The 24,459-nt window shown below is 42.8% G+C and overlaps 1 pseudogene; it reads left to right on the top strand.

The window, feature by feature from the left end:
* IGKV1OR-2 (immunoglobulin kappa variable 1/OR-2 (pseudogene)) lies at positions 19,949-20,432 on the top strand (annotated as a pseudogene).

The raw sequence follows: 24,459 nt of genomic DNA, 5'->3' as shown, positions 1-24,459 counted from the left end.
AAGGGAGGGAGGGAGGAAGGGAGAAAGGCAGGAAGGGAGAAAAAAGAAAACATGAACACAAGAAAGAAAGAGGGAAGGAAAGAAAAGAAAGAAAGAAACAGAAAGAAAGAGAGAAAGAGAGAAAGAAAGAAAGGAGGAAGGGAGGAAGAAAAGGAGGAAGAGAGAATGGTAAAAGGGAGGAAGGCAAAGAAACAAAGAAAATAAAGAGGCGAAGGAAGGAAGGAAAAAGAGGAAAGGAAGGGAGGGAGGAAGGAAGAAAAGGAGGGCGGGAGGAAGGGAGAAAAAAGGAAAGAAAGCAAGAACGTGAGAAAGAAAGAAAGAATACGAGAAAAGAAGGAAGAAAAGGGAGGGAGAAAGGAAGGGAGGGAGGAGGGAAGGAAGAATAAGAGGAAAGAAAGAAAGAAGGAAAGAAGGAAGGAGAAAAAAGAAAAGAAAGAAAGGAAAAGAAAAAAGAAAAGAAAAGGAAGAGGAAAAGAAGAAAGGAAGGAAGAAGGCAAGGGAAGGGAAGAGAAGACAAAGGAAGATGGAAAGAAGGAAGACCGCAAACATTAGAAATTCTGTGTTTGTTAGAGAATATGCCATACTGTTTTTTTTTCACTTGAAAGGAAAGAGTAGCTGCCATTGAAGATTGGATGTCTTGTTGGTGATATTGTTGTTCTTATCTTCCACATGATTACTGAGTTTGTGCCTAGTCTTTCCATTACTAAGACAAAAGTGTTGAAGTCTGCAAATATAATTTTGGATTTTTCTAGTTCACCTTTGATTTCTTTCATGTTTTACCTCACGTATTTGGAGGCTCTGTTGTTAGCTGCGTATCCTAATTAGTAGGATGTTTACATCTTCTTGAGTATTGATTATTCTATTATCTATTATCTCTCATCTCTGATACTATTTCTTGTTCCGAACTCTGTTGTGTCTAATATCAATGTAGTCCTTCCACAGCCTTATTTTAGTGTTTCCATGATATGGCTTTCTCCATATCTTGATGATAACCTATTTATATCTCTATATATTTGGAGCAAGATATAAAATTTAGACTTGATTTTTTAAAGATTTTTCAAGATGGAATTCTTATTTCTTTTTGTTCTATTTGACATTCTCTGAGTTTCCTATATCTGAAGTTTGATTTTCTGTCACTTCTTTTAGAATATTTTTGGCAGTTATTTTGAAATATATTTCTTTTGCTCCATTATTTTTTCCTCTTTTCTTTTTGGGATTTCAATCATAACTAGAGTAGGCAATTTCATCTCAGTCTTATGCAGGTACATTTTCTCAGGGTCTCAGGAATGTAGCCTTCTCACACTTCTGTTCTTTTCCTGGCTGTGTTGGTGAGCTCAGTGATATTCCTCCTTCACCTTTAAGAGCAGTTTTGTTTTGTTTTTCCTGTTTTCATACTCCCAGCATCAGGAGTATTCTAAGTGTGGCAGTTTTTGTTGCCTTCCCCTACATATTAAGTGGAATATCTTGTTCTATTTGGACCCTTATAACAAAATAACATAAACTGGGTGACTCAAAAACAACAGATATTTCTTTTTTCACACTTCTTGAGGCTGTAAGATCTCAGGTCAAGATGCTCACAAATTCAGTGTTGATGAGAGCCCATTTCATGGATCATAGATGGTGCCTTCTTTCTATGTCCTCACACAGTGGAAGGCACAAAAGAACTCCATTGAGCTTCTTTTATAAAGGCACTAATCCCATTCATAAGGGCTCGGCCCCCAAGACCTGGTCACCTCCCAAGTGTTCTGCTCTCCCTGATCTGTGTCATATACAGACTCTCTTGGATTCCTTACCAATTGCTTGAGAGATCACAGTGGGTTTGTGGGGAAAAAGTTTTCAAGATGATGGATCTTTCCCAACTTCTGCAACTGTCAGCGGTCTCCCAATCTCACCAGCCCCACTTTGTCTTTAGGAATTTATTGATTATTCCAGCTTTACTTGTCATAGTGGTGTCTATTTGCATCTGTCCTCTGTAAGTGCATCTGTCCTCTTTCTCCTTGCAGGTGCTTGTTTTCCCTCACATTTTGACTCAGTTCTTGGCAACCTCGTTGCTATAAAAATAAAGTCATGACTTTGAAGTTAGTTTGGTTCTTTCATTGTTGTCAGGTTAGGAACCCTATTCCATCCCAGATCTCAAAAACCCAGACTTTTTGGGGGGTTGAAATGTTAGGTTTTCTCTTTGAATTGTAGTTTTATCTTCTTTCAGTTACCATTTGCATTTTCATAATGATTAATGAGACTAAGCTTTTTTGGTGTAGTTGACTGTACCTTTGGATTTTTTTTCCCAAATACCTTTTTATTTCTTATTTTCTTTATGGTTTTAGAAAATGTAGTTTACATAATTGCAGCTTGATTTTTTACTCAGTTAATGGCATGCTTAATGGAGAGAAAAAATATTAAATATATTTCCCTTTTTAATTACTGTGCTTTTTTCTTTTTTAAGGAAATGTTTCATTATGTTAAATTTCAGTGTTATTCTACTTAGCTATTCCTTAAATATTATAGTATTTTGGATTTCACATGTACATTTGTAACATATCTTGAGTTTATTATGTATAGAGTAAGGCTATTTTCTAAGGTAAAAATCACATAATATAAAATTAATAACAACCATTTTAAAGCATACAATGCACTTGCTTTTAGTATATTCACAATGTTCCAGGGCAATTTCATCATGTCCCTTCTAAAAACTCATTATGCATAAAGTTGTTACACCCTATTCTGCTTCCCTGAGCCCTAACGACCACTAATCTAATTTATATCCCAATTGATTTGCCAATTCCTGATGTTTCATGTGAATAAAATCAAGTAATATTTGTCCTTTTGTGCACTTAACATAATGCTTTCAAATTTCACCCATATTATAACATATATAAGTACTTCATTCTTTGTTATAGCTGAAAATTGGGTGTCCATTTATGAGTCAACAAGCGTATGGATTGTTCCCACTTTTTGACTGTATGAATATTACTGTTGTAAATATTCATGCACATGTTTATTTTTTGAGCACCTATGTTTTGTAAGATTAACAGCTGACTTAAGAGAAACAATGGAAGGCAAGAGGCAGTAGAATAATATATTCAAAAGATGCAAAGGAAAAAAAAAACTCTCGGCCACGAATTCCTTATCCAGCAATTATTTTTCAAAAATGAAGATAACACAAAGACTTACCCAGATAAACAGAAATATTAACTGAAGTTGTTGCTGGCAGACCTACCACATTAAAAAAAACTCTAAAATAAATTCCTAAGGCTAAAAGCAAGTTACAGAAGACAGTCACTTGAATCCACATTTTTAAAAAAGCACTGGTATAGGTAATATTGACATTATAAAAGACAGTAAAAATGCATTTTTTCTCTTTATCATAAATTGTTTATTAAATAACATGTGTATAATGGCCGGGCACGATGGCTCACACCTGTAATCTGAGCACTTTGGGAGGCCAAGGTGGGCAGATCACCTGAGGTTGGGAGTTCGAGACCAGCCTGGCTAACACAGTGAAACCCTGTTTCTACTAAAAATACAAAAAATGAGCCGGGCGTGATGGCGGGCGCCTGTAGTCCCAGCTACTCAGGAGGCTGAAGCAGAAAAATGGCATGAAGCCGGGAAATGGAGCTTGCAGTGAGCGGAGATTGTGCCACTTCTCTCCAGCCTGGGTGACAGAGGGAGACTCCGTCTCAATGATGATAATAATAATATGTGCATAATGTATTGCTGAGTTTTTGACATGTAGAAATGTAATACGTCTATAACATATTTTCCAGTAACATCAAAAAGGAGGTAGTTGGAAGAAAAATGTATTGTGATAAGGTAATCACTCTAGATGGTAAAGTAATAATTACTAAAATGTATTGTTGGCTTTGTAACTTTAATAGATGTAATGTGTAAAGTGATAATACTTTAAAATGGAGGAAATAAAAGAGATTTATATAGGAATGATGTTTCTATGTATTACCAGAAGTTTACTAGTATAAATTGGAAGATGATTTGAATAATTAATTTTCCATATACCTATATGGTAAACTTACAACAACAACAAAAATTCTCAAAAATATATAATAAAATAATTCATTAGTAATCTAAAGTTCCCTATTTTAGAAAATATTCTTTCATTGCAAAATAAAGCAATAAAGAAAAATATTTGAGAAATATAAAAAACAAACGGTAAATAGATAAAATATATAAAACAGACATAAATAGAATTATACCAATTATAATCTTAAATGTGAGCAGATTAAAATCCATTCCAGAGGCAGAGATAGTCAGACTGGATTAAAACAAGTGATCCCAATATACGCTGAGATGCAAGGATACTAATGGATTGAAAGTAAAAAGATGACAAAAAATATCATGCAAAGAGCAATCATAAGAACACTGAACTCATTATACTCATAACACACAACATAGACTATTAAAAATGTGAATAGGATTTTAAAAATTTATATTGTAGTAAAAAGGGGGTCAACGCTTTAGGAAGACATAGCTATTACAATCATGTATGCACAGATATGAGCTAAATTGTTTCCTTTATATAGATGCTGAAATTCTAACCACTGAATATGACCTCATTAGAAAATAGGTTCTTTGCAGCTGATCAAGTTAAGATACAATCAGATGAGCCTGAATTCAATATGACTGATGTCCTTATTAAAAGAAGAAATTTGAGTAGAGGGAGACATACACACAGGGAGAGTACCATGTGATTATGAGGACAGAGATTAGCCAAGGAATGCCAAAGACTGCCACTAAACCATCAGAAGCGAGAAACAAGGCACAGAACAGGCTTTCTCTCATAGCCCTTGAAGGGATCATCCCTGCTGACCCCTCAATCTCAGACTTTTAGCTTCCAGGACTATAAGACTATAAATGTATTTTGTTCATGGCACCCAGTTTGTGTTACTTGGTTATGGCAGCCCTAGGAAACTAATACATGAACTAATAACAAAGCATAATAACATGAAGCAAAAATTGACAAAAGAGGAGCATCAGCAAAATGGCAGTGGAGACAGCTGCAATCTTTCATTTCCCCACAGAAACATCACACAACTAAGAGAAACTGTCCAAATAAACTTTGCCAAAACTCTGGAAAACAGTCAAAAGATTACAACAACCGAGTGAAAGCAGACTCAAGAAAAAGACAACTTGAAAACTTTATGACATTTTTAGCTTGCCTTTGCCCCAGCAAATTGGCAGTTTTGAAGTGTCAGAAGCCCACGTTCCCAGTGAGGAACACTGGTCCATGGTCCAAAGGAACAAGAGAAGATCTTACCCGCAAATTACTATGTGTCTGTTCTGACTGGTCTGGGGGATACCTAAAGGACTCATGAAAGGCTTTTGTTTTTCTGTGTTGCTAGAATACAGAACAGATAAGGAATGGACATTATCAAGGAACTCTGCAAGGAGACCTAACAAACCACAGATGCTTAGGGCAAAAATTAGAGTTTACACATATAGTAGATCACCTTCAGCACAGGAAGAAAAGTTGGAGAAGAGTATTTGGAAAACTAAGACATTCAAAATTATTCACGTACATGGGAGAGGCTAGAAAGTCACATGTATGCATAGGTTAAGCCACATGCTGACAAATGTCATAAGAAGACCCTACACTTTTACCTTGGCTGATCCCTCCCCTCAGTGCAAGCTCTGTGCAAGAGTGAACTTGAACTTCACTCAGTGCAAGAGTGAACACACACTTTGTGCCAGCTTTAAAGAACCCAGCACAAAGCCAGTCTGCATGGCCTAGAGGCATATTTTGCTGGACAATGATTACTTGTTTTTCTTTTTGTTTTTGTTGTATTTGCCTGTTTGCTTACTTCCTGACATACAAGAAAATCACTGTCAAAACATTAGCTTAACATTTGTTAAGGAAACAAAAAGACTTCGGTGACCACACCTTATAAAGCAAACAGTTTTGTAAATCACTTTGGAAAATTTCACTAAAAAAAAAATCCTTAACAATATAATAAGTAAAGAAAATTTAAAACCCCAAAACATTACTGTGTTTGTGGGGGAGGGTCTGATTTACAGAGTAACCACATAGTAATTATAATTATTATAATGCCCAGTTTTCAAAAAAAGTTACAAGGCATACAAAGAACGGGAAAGTATGGCTCATTCAAAGGAACAAAACAAACTGACAGAAAATATCTCTAAGGAAACCCAGACTTCAAACTTACTAGACAAAGACTTTAAAACAACTCTCTTAATTATACTCAAATGTCACAAGGAAAACATAAACAAAGAAATAAAGGATTCAGAAAAAATATTAAAAAGTAGGAATATCAACAGAGATAGCAGAAATTCTGGAGTGGAAAACTACAATGATAAAAATTTAAAAATCACCAGAGGGATTTAAGAGTATATTTGCACACACAGAGGAAGTCATGAGCTTGAAGATAAGAAAATGGAAAATATTGACTCTGAGAAACAGATAAAAAATGAGCAGAGACTAAGGAATCTGTGGGACATCATCAAATAGACCAACGTTCATATTCTAGAAGGATAAATTATGTTGTTGAAAACTTTAGCATTCTTTCTTTTCACCTTTCTTTCTTCCTCCCTCTTCCTCCTCCTCCTACTTTTCTTCCTCTTCCTTTCTCTTCTTCTTTCTCTCCATTATCCCTTTCGCTCTGTTTCTCTTTCTCCCTTTCTCTTTTTTCTTTTCTTTCAATTTTCTCCATTACTAAGAGATGTTTGAATACCCTTACCATGTGAGTTGATATGGTTATTTCTCCGTTTAATCCTCTTTTGAGATTTATAGTCTCTCTAAGTAAAGAGATAACCCAAACATAAGCCTCACAAACAGGCTTCCATACCATTCTTAATTTGGTCCTGTAATTCTTCATTGCTGTATTAACTTTCTGATGCTTTTAAGGATGTTTTACAACAAATTGTTTAGTTTTTTCCACTGGAATGTTTATTCTCAATTATCTAATTCATACTGTAAGTATAGAGGGAGTTTAATATAAAATTATTAAACTAATATTTGTGAAAGAACGTATTTGTGCATTTAACAAATATGTTAATCCTCAGACTGTTATTGGGCAGCTGAGCATACAGCAATAAAAATAACATAATTTTTATGTGTACAATATTTATGGAATACGTTACTGGAACAAATAATTTAGTTAATAACATGACAAAGAACAGAAATTGTATACACTATAGAGCATAGTAATGGAATAATGAATGATTAAAGTTATTAATATTAGGTAGAAAATGAAGGGTATCTTTGAGAGCAGAACTCAAGGAAGCAAGCAATTCGCCTTATGAGGAAAGAGTTACCTGTGGATAAAGGAGAAACTGAAAAATTTACAAGTCAAGACTTTTTGTGCAAAAACAAAAATATGATTATTAGTCACCAATTCAGTACAGTGAAAAAAAAGTTGAAGAGATATCTTGGAAGTAAACCATATTGTGGAAGAGCATGTAGGGTTTTGATAATCAGGGGATTATTCTGAATTAATTTTAAATGCGATAGGAATATATGAGATAACTTAACCAGAGAATAACATGATTGTGTTTGCATTTCAAAGGGGTGTATCTTGTGCACCGTGTAGAATAAATAGGTTTTGTGAGCAAATAAATTGGGAGGCTACTCTAATCCAGAGAAAAAAGGTAGTGACTTAGGTGAGAATGCTGTCAGGATGAGTGGTAGTAGTGGTGAGAAGTCATTAGGCCATGGATGTATTTCATAGGACTAGCCAAGAGAACTGCAGCTAAATTGGAGTGTAGGGAGTGAAATGGAGAACTCAAAGATGACTCTCAGCACTGGAAAGTGACACTGAAGCATGCTGATGCCTCTTATTAAGAGAGTTACTTGGGAATGGCAAGATCAAAACTTCTCACTTTCAAATTTATGAAAAATATTGTTTTCAGAACGAATGACTTTGGGATCAGGAAGCCATCATTCTAATTGATGGTTCCAAGACTACACGGGCTCACACTCCCAAGAACAAAAGTAAATCATCACAAAGGTGCTTCCTGATAATTCTAGAGAATGGAGAATTACTGTAACATCTTTCTGATTTTAGGAGAGGTAGCAGTTCCCCGTTTAGCCTAAACGCTATTTTTTTTAAAGCTCAGCCAAGAGACTCCATTATAATTTTCAAATGTGTGTAACTTAAATTCTCATATGAAATACCACTATGCTTAAATTAGTCAAAACATTTTCCCCATCTACAACTCTATCTTTTCATTGCAATCATTTTCACAAAAGTGACTGCAGCTCACAGACCCTAAAAGGAGAAAATCCAGGGTAGGTTACCTGATCTAGTTAGTTTTGAAGACAGGATCTAGAGATTATTTAATATGAAATAGGTCACCTGAAATGAAGTGTTTACTGAAAACAGCTTGGATCAGCCCAGTTTTCTACCACTGAACCATGCATTTGATTTAAAAAACACAACTCTGGGGAATATCGGCTGCTTCCAACTGTGTTGAAGGTGTTAAAGAAAAGAGCATAAAAGTAAAAATGATCATCTGAGGCCTTTATAGTCTCTGCTCAAGAGACTAGAGTCTTCCATTCTTAACGAAACACCCAAATATCTTAATAATTGGGCAAAATCTAAATATCAGAGAGATAATTTTATCTTGAAGATTGTTAAATTATAATGGTGATTCACTACCTTGCCACATCTCTGAGTCAAAAATTAGGTCTTTGTTTAGGAATCAATGGTACTCTGCAACTTGGAAATAGGAAGATTTTAGAAGACTCAAACACTGACTTTCTTGTGTGCAAAAAAAAGACGTATTGAGTTAAGACAAGTCTTTCCTTGCAAGGATACCTCTAATGCTCATACACCACCTCCCCTAACGTTAATATAGCTTCCAGGTCAGTAACCAGTGTCAGAGAGCAGCCCATGCAACTACAAATTCAATAGATGTCGAACACAGGGTCAAGCCTAGAATAAGAAGTCTTAGCTAATTAAGTATGCTTTGTTCCCCAAATTCATATTAACAAAAACTTGGATATGTCAGAGAATGCATTCTAAGTTCATTCAACCTAGGAGGGAGAAACATAATTTTAAATTAAGAGCTGAAGCATTCTTGTCCTAACAAAAAGCAAGGAAAACGAAATATCACACCACAGGAGGGATTTCACAAATTAGTGTCAACATCAAAACCTTAAAATAGTCAAGGAAAATGCAGATTTACAATGAACTCTTGTACTTGTTTTGTTCAGAGAAGAGATGGTTCTGAGAGAATGACAGTGAACTAACCCCAGCTGGTTTAGTTGGTGCTTTCAATTGCTGCTTCTGATCAACTCCTTTAGCTAGAATAAATTGATGAGGATTTTGGCATGTGGTATTAGAGATGGTTATTAATTTTTTCCTCTTATTTGCATTGTTCAATGTAGTAAATACTAGCTGTATATGGCTACTTCAATTCAAATTAATTACAATGAAATATACTTAAATATTGAATTTTTTAGTCACTGTTGGTTCATTATTGAATATCTTCAGCTAAGATTTCCCATCTAAATACACTAAGAGGTGGCTTAGTTAACTGGTCGTCCACAAATATTGACGCTGATGTTAACTCCTGATATATTCTCTGCAAATAGAATATTCATGAGCCTCCTCCTGAAATCAGCAGCCTAGAGATAGTTTTATAAATTGGATACAAGTTGGAAATCTATATACTCTTTCAGTGTTTGAAATATTAGCTTCCCAGGGAAGAAAATCAAATTCATAAGCTATGTTAGGACGATTTAACTCAAGATGTTCAAAACTGAAATGACGTATTCTACAATATGTGATAAAACCACCCCCTAACAACTTAAAGCAAAACAGGGATTGACCTTAAAGACCTGCCTTTTCCTCATCCCCCAGTCAATCAGTTTTCAAATCTCGCATTTTATTTCAAAAGGTCCTTATCCCCCTAGTCTCTTGTTTCTAGATTCGGCACATATTTAAGTTTGTTACCTCTATCTACTGACATTTTTCTCTTCGAACGGTATCTATGCCTGCCAAATGTGAATATACAAAAAACAAATCAGAATGTGCCATTCTGATTTAAACTGCTTATTAGTTAAAACCCTCAAGATAACATCTGGGTTCTTGGCTGCAATGAGTCAAGCCTACTTACATCTTTTTTTGTCTTTGGCTGCACATTTCCTATCACATCACACTCCAGCAAAGCCAAGCTGTGCCGGCCTTCTACCCCATCTCCACTATTTTGCCCCGCGTCGCCGCAGCTTTTTGACCCTCATCACAGCGGCTCTTTTGCCCTTCGCCGCCGCGGCTTTTTGTTCTCCGCCGCCGCGGCTTTTTCCCCGCCGCCGCGGCTTTTTCCCCACCGCGGTTTTTTGCCCCCACCCGCCGCCTCGGGTTTATGCCCGCCACGGCTTTTAATTCCCTACCGCCGCGGCTTTTTGCCCCCCACCCCCCCCCCGCCGCAGCGGCTTTTTGCCCGACCTGGCTTTTTGCCCACCCCCGCTGCCGCCACGGCTTTCTGCCCGCCGCGGCTTTTTGCTCGACCCGGCTTTTTACCCCCCCACCGCCGCGGCTTTTTGCCCCTCACGGCTTTTTACCCCCCGCCGCCGCCGAGGCTTTTTGTCGCCGCGGCTTTTTCACCCCCGCCGCCGTGGCTTTCTGCCCGCCGCGGCTTTTTACCCCCCGCCGCCGCCGCAGCCGCCGCGGCTTTTTGCTCCCCCACCGCCGCAGCTTTTTCACCCCCGCCGCCGTGGCTTTTTGTCGCCGCGACTTTTTGCTCGACCCGGCTTTTTGCCCCCCCACCGCCGCGGCTTTTTGCCCCCCCGCCCCCGCGGCTGTTTGCCCCCCCGCCCCCGCGGCTGTTTGCCCGACCCGGCTTTTTGCCCACCCCCGCTGCCGAGGCTTTTTCCCCCCTGCCGCCGCGGCTTTTTGCTCCCCTACCGCGGCGGCTTTTTCACCCCCACTGCCGTGGCTTTTTGTCGCCGCGGCTTTTTCCGCCCCGCGGCTTTTTCACCCCCGCCGCCGCGGCTTTTTGCTCCCCTACCGCGGCGGCTTTTTCACCCCCACTGCCGTGGCTTTTTGTCGCCGCGGCTTTTCCCCCCCCCCGCCGCCGCGGCTTTTTGCCCCCCGCGTCTTTTTCACCCCCGCCGCCGCGGCTTTTTACCCCCCCGCCGCCGCGGCTTTTTGCTCCCCTACCGCGGCGGCTTTCTGCCCCCCGCCGTCGTGGCTTTCTGCCCCCCGCCGCTTTTTACCCCCGCCGCCGCCGCGGCTTTTTGCTCGACCCAGCTTTTTGCTCCCCCCTCCGCCGCGGCTTTTTGCCCCCCGCCGCCGCCGCAGCTTTTTGCTCCCCCACCGCCGCGGCTTTTTCACCCCCGCCGCCGTGGCTTTTTGCTCGACCCGGCTTTTTGCCCCCACCGCCGCCGCGGCTTTCTGCCCGCCACAGCTTTTTACCCCCCGCCGCCGCCGCGGCTTTTTGCTCCCCCGCCGCCGTGGCTTTTTGCCCGGCCGCAGCTTTTTATCCCCCGCCGCCGCGGCTTTTTGCTCGACCCGGCTTTTTGCCCCCCCCACCGCCGCGGCTTTTTCACCCCCGCCGCCGTGGCTTTTTGTCGCCGCGGCTTTTTGCCCCCCCCCCATCGCCACGGCTTTTTCACCCCCGCCGCCGCGGCCCCCGCCTGGTGCCGCGATTATTTGCCCGCCGCAGCTTTTTACACCTCCCGGTGCCGCGGTTATTTGACCGCCGCGGCTTTTTGCACCCCCCCCCCCACCCCCCTCCCCGGTGCCGCGGTTATTTGCACGTCGCGACTTTTTGCACCCCCGCCGCCGCGGCTTTTTCCGCGCCGCGGGTTTTTGTCCCCCGCCGCCGCGGCTTTTTGCGCGCCTCGGCTTTTCGCCCCCTGCCGCTGCGGCTTTTTCCCCACTGCGGTTTTTTGCGCCCCCCCCGCCGCCTCGGGTTTTTGCCCGCCGCGGCTTTTTGCCTCCGCAGCTTTTTGTTCCCCCGCCGCCTCGGCTTTTTGCACCCCCGCCGCCGTGGCTTTTTACCCTCCACGGCTTTTTGTCGTCGCGGCTTTTTGCCCCCCCCCCCCCCCCCCCGCCGCCAAAAGCCGCAGCTTTTTGCCCGCCACGGCTTTTTGCCCCTCGCTGCCACGGCTTTTTGACCCCCTGCCGCCGCGGCTTTTTGCCCCCCCGCTACCACGGCTTTTTGCCCCCCCCCCCCCCCCCGCCGACGCGGCTTTTTGCCTCCGCGGCTTTTTGCCACCCCCCGCCGCCGCGGCTTTTTGCCCATCGCGGTTTTTTGTCCCCCCGCCGCCTCGGGTTTATGCCTGCCCCGGGTTTTGCCCTCCGCAACTTTTTGGCGCCCCGGGTGCCGCGGTTATTTGCCTGCCGCGGTTATTTGCCTGCCGCGGCTTTTTGCACCCCCGCTGCCACGACTTTTTGCCGCCCGCCGCCGCGGCTTTTTGCCCCGCCGCCGCGCCTTTCTGCCCGCCGCGGCTTTTTACCCCCCGCCGCCGCGGCTTTTTGCCCGACCCGGCTTTTTGCCCACCCCCGCTGCCGCGGCTTTTTGCCCCCCGCCGCCGCGGCTTTTTGCTCCCCCGCTATGGCGGCTTTTTGCGCCCCACCCCCCCTCGTGCCGCGGTTATTTGCCCGCGGCGGCTTTTTGCACCCCAGGCGCCGCGGCTTTTTGCCCCCCGCCCCCGTGGCTTTTTGCCCCATGGCCATCCTCAGAAGCGTGAGTGGAACAGAGTGAAGGGAAAGCTGTTTTCTTCGAAAGCTCAAAAATCTTGAACTTTCAAATAGGGATAAGTGTTATTTTTGCTCCAAGCACACATTTGAGAAATCTTCCATTTAGCGGATATGATGATAAACCCACATTTTTTGTTTTAATCTGAAAATGTATTTGTATGGTTCTTGGAAATATTTTTTTTGCATATAAAATTATAGTTTATCATCTTATTTCAAGTTTTATTTACCATTTGATAGTTACTCCTAAAATGTCATTGATTAAATAATCATCTATTGCTCCAACTGCTCTTTACTAAAGATAATTTGTCTTTTTAACCTCATCAGGCTCCTTTTAAGCTCTCAAACTGACCTTATATTTTTTTACAGATTGAATGCATTAAGTCCATTTATTATTTATGATGAATTTATTTATGTATTTATTTTTGCTATCACAAGTAGAAAAAGCCTATAAGTTGCTATGCCAAAAACCTGCCTCTAGATGGCAAACAAACCCCGCGATACACAAAAGAGAGCCAAATTCTTAGAAACCCTGGGAAAGGAAGAGGGCTACTGTCCCATTAACAACTTGGAGCCCTTAAGGCAAGAATGAGGTGGAACATCTGGGGGGAGACACCAGGGTGCGGAGTAGTGGGGAACCTGCTCTGTGCTCTGAGACTGAAAGCCCAGCCTTGCCTCTCACCACTGCCTTGACTGTGTCCCCATCTGCTGTGAAGTGAATCGTGTCTTCTAAATTCATGCTGAGCCCTAATTGCTGAAAAGTGTAAGACATGCAATGGGGGGATTATGTGCATCTTCCCGACACCAACATGATGCTCAGGAAGGAGACTTCTTGTTTTCTCTTAGGATTCTTTTACTAACCAAGATTTTGCCTCTACTGCATATTTCCCTTTGCTGATTGTCCCTCCCTTTTGACAGAAGATGGCCCAGGGCATTCACTACTAAGTCTCAACCTCTTACCCAAAGCCCTCAGTCTAGTGTTGCTCTTTCCTTCATGCTATTTTTGTTTGTTTCTTTTCTTGTCATCGTCTTGGCAATAAAATAATCACTTTTTTCTTTCTACCTATTAAAGATGTTACCTTAGTTAATTACAGTGGTTTCCTTCAGAATGATAAATGGTATTTCAAAATGATGTAAAGAGATCTAAATCCGTGTGCTCCAGAAGTTGAATGAAGCTCTGTCTAGCACGGGTGCCAGTGACTCTCCCAGAGTGCTCCATGCAGCTGGACCCACGGAGTCCCTCTGTGCTGTCATATCACCCACTGCCTTCTGTGAATGAGATATTCTGATTGGAATCCTGGTGGATGCTATTTGAGCCATGCCCCCACAACTCCTATGAAAGCCAAGGACCACAGGCCCCTGAAGACAATCACAGGTCTCTAGACTCACAGCTCATGACCGTCCTCTGCAGACACAGCTTCTCCCCGGATGGCTGAGTTTTGTCATTGGCTGTGTCCTTCCTTGTGCATGACAACAGGAGACATAGAAGGTCTGTAAGCAGCCCTGCAAGCCAGGTTCTGAGCAAGCCCTCCTGTGTGGGGCCCTCTTACCTGGACATAGGTGTGTAAACCAAAAATGAAACTCTAAGCTCCCTAACCAACTGAATGAACTCCTCCTCTCAGCCAAGGACACACCAAAATCAACCTGAAATACAATACAGTCCATGATCGGAACGGATGATTGGACATGCCTTAACTTACCCTCTTCCCTTTAAAATTCAGGCAGAACTGACCAGCTTTTAATATGAAGACAGAGACCTTGAGACTGACAAAGAAAACTCTTTATAGCAATAAGATACCAATGTGACAGATACCACGTCCTAAGAGAAATCAAAGTATTTTCCCCAAGATATTGTTATTTAATGTATTTAAAAATGCCTCTGCAAAGCTGGTTCTTGTGGGAAAAATCTAAATTCTGTAGAGATTCCTTTTTAAGTCTCTTTCCTGACCCAGAGAGATTTAACTAAGAGTTTGGCACCTTTTAAGTCTACTAAGAAACAATTACAATCTATTCTCTCTGAAGCCTGCTACCTGGAGGCTTCATCTGCATGATGCAACCTTGGCTCCAAAACCCTTTTTCTAAACCCAGGAACTCCCTTGTGTTGATTACAGGTCATTAGATAAACTCTTTCAACCACCTATGAAATCTCTGAATCCACCTATGACCTGGAAGTCCCCAATATCCCCCCTCCTTCGGGCTGTCCTGCCTTTCAATATCAAAGCAATGTACAGCTTACACGTATTGATTGATATCTTATGTCTCCTTAAAACGTGTAAAACCAACCTGTAGCCCGACGACCTTTGACACACGTTCTCAAGACCTCCTGAGGCTGTTTCACTGATATTTCTTTAACTTTGACCAAATAAATTTCTAAACTGATTGAGACTTTTCTCAGATACTTATTTGTTTATAGGTATCACTGGATACACTTAAGGAATTGAAGAGATTTATGACATTGAGAAAAGGAGGAAGCCAGGGTGTGTGGAGAGAGATGGGGAGAGAGAGAGAGATTGTGATGTATGTACAGGACTAACACTGAGACCTGGTTATGTAATGGTGTAGTAATGAGTATCATACCCAAATAGTGAGGTTTCATTCCAAGAAGACTATGCATGTATCTCATTTGGGAAAACAGCTTTTGCAGGTGTAAATTAAGGAGCTTGAAACAGGGAGATGGTCTTAGATTAATCAACTGGGACTTAAATGCAAACTCAAGTGTCCTAATAAAAACAAGAGGTAGAGAGACATTTAGCTTAGACTGAAGTGGAGAAGGCAGTGTGAACACAGAGACAGAGATTGCAGTGATGTGTCCACATCCCGGGAGAGAGAAGCCACCAGAAGCTGGAAGAGCTAAATCAGACTGCTCCCTAGAGCTTCAGAAGGAGCCAGAACTGATGACTCCAAGTTCTTAGCCCAGTGAAACTGATCTGGACTTCTGAACTATGAGAGATTCCATTCCTGTTGTTTGAAGCTACCACATTTTTGAGAACTTGTTACAGTAGCCCGAGGACACTAACACAAATGGGGCTCCGGGAAAATCCAGACTAAAGGTGTTGTGTTGGTTTGCAATCTCCTTGCTTAACTTTCTGATACTAGACGTAAATAGATTGGTGAAAAATTTTGTGATTGAAGAAATGTACATGAAACCTACAGTGTACAGAGAAGCATCTGTTAGTTATAAGATAAATATTGATAATTTTAGTTGAAAATGACATATGACTGTTAATATCTCACATAACATTCTGAGTTACTCAAGAATGCATAAAAGGGACACTAGATACTCTTCTCATGTATGTGTGTGTGTCTGTCTATACATGTAGGTACACTTCATGGTGCATCAGCTGGCAGAACCCTCAGGACACCCCTTCACATCCTCAGTGCCCCATTTCACACATGAGGAAACTGTTCATGACAGCACATGGCTGATTTGCATAAAAGTCACTTGGTCAGCAGTTGTTGAAGCTGAACTTGGAATCTAGGTCTGTCTGACCTTAACTATGTTCCTTCCACAGAGCCACGTTCATTCCATAGAGGAACCCACCACCTATAAAACCAGAAAAGAGACAAAGCCAGAAGTGCAGGGTGGATTTCTTAACACAAGCTCACTGCGACCTCTACTCCTCATCACGCTGACACTAAGCTTAAACCCAGACCCTTCTACAGTTTTGTCTACAAAGCACAATTTGCCCAAAGCCTTTACAAACACCAATAGCCTTTCTTTCAGATATGGCAGCAGGGTCACATCTTACATGGCCCTGACCACATTTTGTCTCCTCTGCCATCCCCATCTCTCTGACTCAGTCCTCGCTTGCAGCCATAAAAAAGGATGAGTTCATGTCCTTTGTAGGGACATGGATGAAGCTGGAAACCATCATTCTCATCAAACTATCGCAAGGACAAAGAAACCAATCACTGCATGTTCTCACTCACAGGTGGGAATTGAACAATGAGAACACATGGACACAGGAAGGGGAACATCACACACCAGGGCCTATCGTGGGGTGGGGGGAGGGGGGAGGGGGGAGGGATAGGATTAGGAGGTACACCTAATGTAAATGATGAGTTAATGGGTGCAGCACACCAACATGGCTCATGTATACATATGTAACAAACCTGCACGTTGTGCACATGTACCCTAGAACTTAAAGAACAATAATAATAATAATAATAATAATAATAATAATAATAGGTCTTGTACATCTAATTTGCCCTACAAATGTTAAAACAGCAAACCCGCATCCCCTTCCTCTTCTCATGTGCTGTGAGGGATGACCTCCAGGCTCTCAGATACCAAGATTGTACAAGACCTAACCCAGAGAATTACTCAAGACACTTTCTACGTAAGAGAATTGTGGTGTTAGCTCTCCTCATAGAAAAATGTTTTCTGTCTCTTGTTGAAATTGACAGCAAACACAAAAACACAGAACTATTTGGGAGAACAGAGGACAGTGATACACTAGGGAAGTAAAACACACCCCTTCCCCTTGCATTGGTTTCCTGTTGCTGCCGTAACAAATTACCACAACCTTACTGCTCCCCATAACACAAGTGTATTATCTTACATTTCTGGAGGTCAGAAGTCTCAATGAAGTAAAATCAAGGAGTAATAGGGCTCTATTCATTCTAGGCTTCAAGAGAGAGAATCCAATATCGAGCATTCCATCTTTCTGATGTTCCCACATTCCTAGCAGCATGGCCCCTTCCTCCATCACTCCAGTTTCCCTGTCCGTTGTCCCAGGTCCTCTCTGGCTGTTACCTTCCTCCCTCCCTATTATAAGGACCCTTGTGATTATGATGGTCTCACCCAGATCATTCAGGATACTCTCCTGACCCCCAAATTCTCAACCATGTCTGCCAAGTTATTTTTGACATATTCATAAGTAATGATCATAGATTCCAGATATTAGGACAATGATGTCTTTAGTGGGTGTATTATTCATTCCACAAACAACCCTCATCATCCACACAATGGTCTTCCCCTAAGGTAGAATAAAAATATCACAAGGCAGATTTACGAGGCGATCGACCTAGAAAAAACCTGAGAATCTAGGACTGTCTGATGTGTGGATGTCAAATCCTGGGAGATTCTGAGTCTCTGCTCTATGTGGACTCTATGTTGTGTAGCCATTTGTGGAAGGCTTCTGTGATTTTGTGACCTAGAGAAAATGAATCTCTGCTAAAATCAAATCTAAGAAAGATTGGCAAAGGGAATTTAAAGATTTCCTAAATTTTTGGAATTTCCCTATGCATTAAAGCATGAGAAGTGGCAATAATTCAAACCAACGATGCCCTCCAAGAATGAGGATTTTTCCAATGCATTAGGTTGGGTCCCCTCAGTGAGAAGGATGCCAAAGATTCGCATGCAGGCAGTATATTTACAAAGTGCGGGAAACAAGCAAGTGAGCAAGGGAGAGGAGGAGGGAAAGGGAAAGTGAAAGGTGCCTCACAAGGAGCCACCTCTGAGGATGACGAGAGCTCAAGCCCACATAGAAACACAGGAAAAATGCCTCTGTTATTCCACCTGAGAGGTGAGGGAGCTGCGGGATGTGTACACCTCCCTTGTCATCACTGATTGACAGCCGTCCTAGGGGATGCTAATTCCAGGCCATGAGGTCTGCCTCATTTGCAGCCTGAGCTGCTTCCCCAGGTTCAGACAGAGCAGTGAAGGGGAGAAAGGGCCATAGAGAGTCAGCTGAAGTATAATGACTAGAATCCCCAAGGCGTAGTAACAATGACTGCTAAAATTATGCACAAAGAAAAAGCGCATTTGAATCCAGAGATGTATCTCTCTGAATCTGGATATATGGATCCTGGCAGCCTGTTCAGTAGCCATTTCCCAGAAATCCAGTTCTCTGGAAAAGCAGCAGGAGGTTTGTGCACAGGCTGCACTACCTTGGTCTGGCCACTGGTAGTCGTGCATGAGAACTACTCCCTGGAGTATTTCTCAGTCCACTGACACTGATGTAATTGGCTCCACTTCCCCTGCTGTTGAGCCAGGCCGACACGCCCTGGACAAAGGCATCTGTGTGAAGTATTGAGGTTCAAATCAGTGCTTAAGATATGTTTGGAGGCAAAATACTTTTTCATCTACATGGGCAGTGTCTTGGCAGAAGATGGAGATTCTCTCTAAATGGATGTGAAACAGGGTGGCTGGCATCTGGGTCAGGATGATGCCCTGGTGCATGGCAAGAACATGCATTGGGCAGCAGCTGTCCTTGCTAAGCAGAGAGGTTCACTGACCTGGCTTTTCCCCCCTCACCTGCTCTCCAGAAAGCCAGACTCTAGGGCAGATGCTCCTGAGACCCCAGGAACAGGCTGGTGGGGAGCGCAGCTCAGAGCATTACTCAGGGGATGCGGCCTTTGTCATCCTACTTTGAAACAATTGATTATTTGAGCCTAGATTGATAGAGGGCTTCAAGTTGATTTTAATCCTGGCTCCTATAGTCCGCGAGTGAAACAGAGATTTTGAAATAATGAGACCTGGTATTACTAGTCAGCTCTCCATGCTGGAGAACCATAAGAAATTATACCAAAGGCAGGAAAGGGGATAGAATATGGGGATCATCACGCCAAGAATAAGGTGCAGCCCATTTAGCCCCTAGGTCTTAAAGAGACCCATAGCTCTGGATAATGGCAGATCTATGCGTGACACATTATCATCTTTGTGCATCTTCAGAGAATTGTTTTTCCTTTTACTCCTAGGAACAATGTCTTAAGTTTGTTAGTAAATTCTATTGAATTTATTAAAGATGCTTCTGATAAATTCTTTTTATATTCATTTCAAAAAAGAAGCAATTTCACACTGACAGAGACATTGTTATTATAGCACTAAATACTTTTACACTCATCAAATTCCTTTGAGACTAACTGAAGTTTCTGACAGCCCCACACTCTATAACTTTATTGTAAATTTTCTGCCAAAAATGATGCTTTCCTATACACTCTTAATACAAGTATAAATATATTATTTAATCTAGTCTTAGGTTGATTTAAAATTTTGAAAATTCACTCCAAAAATATGTTCTGTAACCATATGGCCACCAATGAGAAGTGTACTCTTTCAAGGTAAATCTGTGCTGCCCTGGTCTGACCTGGGACTCTGGGGATACTGCGCCCATGTGCTGAGTTACTGAGATGAGCCAGCCGTGCAGCTGTGCTCAGCCTGCCCCATCCCCTGCTGATTTGCCTATTCCTAGAGCACAGCCCCCTGCCCTGAAGACTTCTTATAGGCTGGCCACACCTGGTGCAGGAGTCAGCCCCAGTCAGGACACAGCACGGACGTGAGGGCCCCCACTCAGCTCCTGGGGCTCCTGGGGCTCCTGGGGCTCTGGCTGCCAGGTAAGGAAGGAGAACACTAGGATTATACTCGGTCAGTGTGCTCAGTACTGTCTGGAACTTCAGGGAAGTCCTCTGATAACATGATTAATTGCAAGAATATTTGTTTTTATGTTTCTAACTTCAGGTGCCAGATGTGACATCCAGATGACCCAGTCTCCATCCTCCCTGTCTGCATCTGTAGGAGGCAGAGTCACCATCACTTGCCGGGCGAGTCAGGGCATTAGCAATAATTTAAATTGGTATCAGCAGAAACCAAGGAAAACTCCTAAGCTCCTGATCTATGCTGCATCCAGTCTGCAAAGTGGGATTCCCTCTCGGTTCAGTGACAGTGGATCTGGGACAGATTACACTCTCACCATCAGCAGCCTGCAGCCTGAAGATTTTGCAACTTATTACTGTCAACAGAGTGACAGTAACCCTCCCACAGTGTTACAAGTCATAACATAAACCCCAAGGAAGTAGATGTGTGAGGCTGGGCTGCCCCAATGCTCCTTCTGGTGCCTCTATCTGCTGAGGGAAGTTCTCAAACTCAGTCAGGTTTGGAAAGTCATCGGGAGATTTTCCTAGAGGAGGCCAGGGAGGTTCCTCTGAACGCTAAGCCTCTTTCGCCCTCATCCCCAGCAGAAAAGACGTGACAATGCCTGTCCTGACTGAATAAAGAAGAGAGATAAGTCCAGCTGAGGAGTCTGTGTTATGGGATAATTGGAATTTGTACAGCAAAAGAGAAGCTATTCTCAGTATTTCAAGGAGAAATTATTCAAGTTGAATAAATTAGAGTCTAAACCACAGTCTTTCCGAAGCCTATGGAGTGTTATTCATGAAGCAGGTACTAGACACAGGGGATTCTCAGGTGCTACTTCAGAAGCCAGGATGCACCTGCCCCTGGTGGTATGTGCTGAACACCGTGTGATGATCCTCAGTCCTGTCTGGGAAGCCCAGGGCTGGGGGTGCTGATGCTCTCAGCTGCCTGCAGCACATCTCCAGGTGATTCTCCAGTCCACACCTAACTGCATGTGTTTTACTTCAGGTGTCAGTGTACATGAATCCACCACTCTGACTTCCCAATCTCATGACAGTAATTAGTTGTAACTTATTGTAACCTCATGGAGCAACTCTAAAGAAACCATAGAGAGAAAAGGAGTTTTGGAAAATGTGCTCCCGGAAGTGATAGTAATGATGGGGAATTGACAGCTGACGGGGAAGTAAGGTGACTCTTTCCACAAGGCTCAACATTTTGCCAGTTATGAATTGTTGCAAAATACATTTGAATGTGCTTTCAAGTATTACCAGTTTGGGGTCATAGCTGAAAAACTTTATTAAGTCACAGATAAAATGGGAAAATCAGGAATATTTTATATTGTATGAAATATACAATAACACTGTGTGTGATGGCTCAGGTCTGTAATCCTGTGATAGTTAATACTGATTGTCAACTTGATTACATTGAAGGATGTAAGCATTGCTCCTGGGTGTGTCTGTGAGGGTGTTGCCAAAGGAGATTAATATTTGAGTCAGTAGTCTGGGGAAGGCAGACCCCCTACTTAATCTATGGGCACCATTTAATCAGCTGCCAGTGAATATAAAGCAGGCAGAAAAAAGTGAAAAATTGAGTCTGGCCCAGCCTCCCAGCCTACATCTCTCTCCCGTGCTGGATGCTTCCTACCCTTGAACATCGGACTCCAAGTTCTTTAGTTTTGAGGCTCGAGCTAGCTCTCCTTACTCCTCACTCCTCATGCCTGCAGACAGCCTACTGTGGGACCTTGTGATCCTGTAAGTTAATATGTAATAAACCCATATATATATATATATATATATATATATATATTGAACTTATTAGTTCTGTCCCTCTAGAGAACCCTCATTAATACAGATTTTGGTACCAGGAATGGTTCTGCAGGATCAGAATATTAAGGCTGGAGTTCTTTTGTTGGTTTTGGGGTTTCTGGATTTGGCTGCTAAATATGATTAGATCCCAAAATGCTAAGGACTCTACTTTTAATAGTGTAGAGAATATTGACAGTTCTTGGCATGAAAGGTTTAAAGAGCTATGCAAAACAAATTCATTTGACACTAATGAATCATCGCTCATGAGAGGCAAGGAGTTTAGTGACTCTGTACCTAATACCCTTGACAAACACCTTGCAAAATAGATTTGTGAGGACAGCACCTGCATCTTTGAAGAGCCCTGTAAAGGCTCTTCTCTGTATGTCAGATCTAATGGTGAGAACTGCAGTCACTCAGTTACAAAAGTTAAATACAATTTGGAATAATTGGATCCTGAAGTGGCAGGGGCCAAGTGGTAGCACTCAACCCTCAAAGGCACGGTGGGCGTAGCTACCGTAATGGGCAGAAAAGACAAAGCAGCAATCTGAACAGTCTGACTCATGTAGAGCTCTGGCATTGGCTAACTAATCACAGTGTTCCTGGAAGTGAAACTGACAGGAAGACTAATGCATTCCTACTTAATTTATGTAAGGAGGAAACTTAAGGTCAAACAGATAAAAGACTAACTGGAATCATAAAAACAGAGATTCATGGCCCCTCAATCAATTTCCAGCCTTGAGCCAGTTTACAGACCCAGAACCCCTTGAATGAAGGGGAGGCTGGGTCCCCCTGAGGTGTCCATGGCAGATAGGAATGCTGCTTTGAGGCTTTGGCAAGCCTCCATAGGTGAATCATGGTGGAGGCCTCTAGTATTTTGCAGCAAGGACCGGTCATCTTCTCCAGTTAACTACTCTCCTTTTGAGAGACAGCTCTTGTCCTATACTGGGCTTTTGTGGAAACTGAACATTTGACTATGAGTCAACAAGTCACCATGCGACCTGAACTGCCTATCGTGAACTGGGTGCTTTCTGACTCATGTAGCCATAAAGTGGGTCATGCACAGCAGCATTCCATCATCAAATGGAAATGGTGTATAAGTGATTGGGCTCAAGCAGGTCCTGGGGGGCACAAGTAAGTTACATGAGGAAGTGGCTCAAATGCCCACGGTCTCTACTCTTGCCACCCTGCCTTCTCTCCCATGGCCTGCACTGATGGCCTCATGGGGACTTGCCTTTGAGCAATTGACACAGGAAGGGAGGACTAGGGCCTGGTTCACAGATGGTTTTCCACAATAGGCAGGTACTGCCCAAAAGTGGACAGCTGAAGCACTACAGCCCCTTTCTAGGACATCCCTGAAGGACAGTGGTGAAGGACAATCTTCCCAGTGGGCAGAACATTGAGCAGTGCACCTGATTGTGCACTTTGCATGGAAGGAGAAATTTCCAGATGTGCGGTTATATACTGATTCATGGGCTGTAGCCAATGGTTTGGCTGGATGGTCAGGGACTTGGAAGAAGCATGATTGGAAAATTGGTGACAAAGAAACTTGGAGAAAGAGTATGTAGATGGACCTCTCTGAGTGGTCAAAAACTGAAGATATTTGTACCCTGTGTGAGTGTTGACCAACAAGTGACTTCAGCAGAGGAGGATTTTGATAATCAAGTGGATAAGATGACCCGTTCTGTGGATACCACTCAGCCTCTTTCCTCAGACACCCCTGTCATTGTCCAATAAGCCCATGAACATAGTGGCCATGGTGGCAGGGATGGAGGTTATGCATGGATTCAGCAATGTGGACTTCCACTCACCAAGGCTGAACTGTCTGTGGCCACTGCTGAGTGCCCAATTTGCCAGCAGCAGCAGCAGAGACTAACAGTGAACCCTTTGTATGGCATCATTTCCTGGGGTGATCGACCAGCTACCCGGTAGCAGGTTGATCATATTGGAACTCTTCCACCATGGAAAGGAGAGAGGTTTGTCCTCATTGGAACAGGCACTTACTCAGGATATGGGTTTGCCTACCTGCAAGCAATGCTTCTGCCAAGACTACCATTTATGGACTCAAGGAATGCCTTATCCACTATCACGGTATTCCACACAGCATTACCTTTGACCAAGCACTCACTTTACAGGTAAAGAAGTGAGGCAGTGGGCTCATGCTCACGGAATTCACTGGTCTTACCATATTCCCCATCTTCCTGAAGCAGCTGGATTGATAGAATGGTGGGACGGCCTTTTGAGGTCGCGATTACAACATCAACTAGGTTGCAATACTTTGCCGGGCCGGGGCACCATACTCCAGAAGACCATGTGTGCTCTGAATCAGCGCCCAATGTATGGTATTGTTTCTCCCATAGCCAGGATTCACAGATCCAGGATTCAAGGGGTGGATGTGAAAGTGGAACCACTCACTATGATGCACTAGCAAAATGTTTGCTTTCTGTTCCCACGACATTAGGTTCTGCTTTACTAGTCATCTTAACTCCAGAGGGAAGAACGCTGCTACCAGGAGACACAATAACGATTCCATTAAACTGGAAGTTAAGATGGCCACTTGGATGCTTTGGGGTCCTCCTACCTTTAAGTCAACAAGCTAAGAATGGAGTTACAGTGTTGGTGGCAG

The sequence above is a fragment of the Homo sapiens genome, chromosome 9 (assembly GCF_000001405.40).
Source record: "Homo sapiens chromosome 9, GRCh38.p14 Primary Assembly".
NCBI classification, from domain to species: Eukaryota; Metazoa; Chordata; class Mammalia; order Primates; family Hominidae; genus Homo; species Homo sapiens.
The sequence above is the reverse complement of the archived record's forward strand: the minus strand, read 5'-3'. Positions and strand labels throughout refer to the sequence as shown.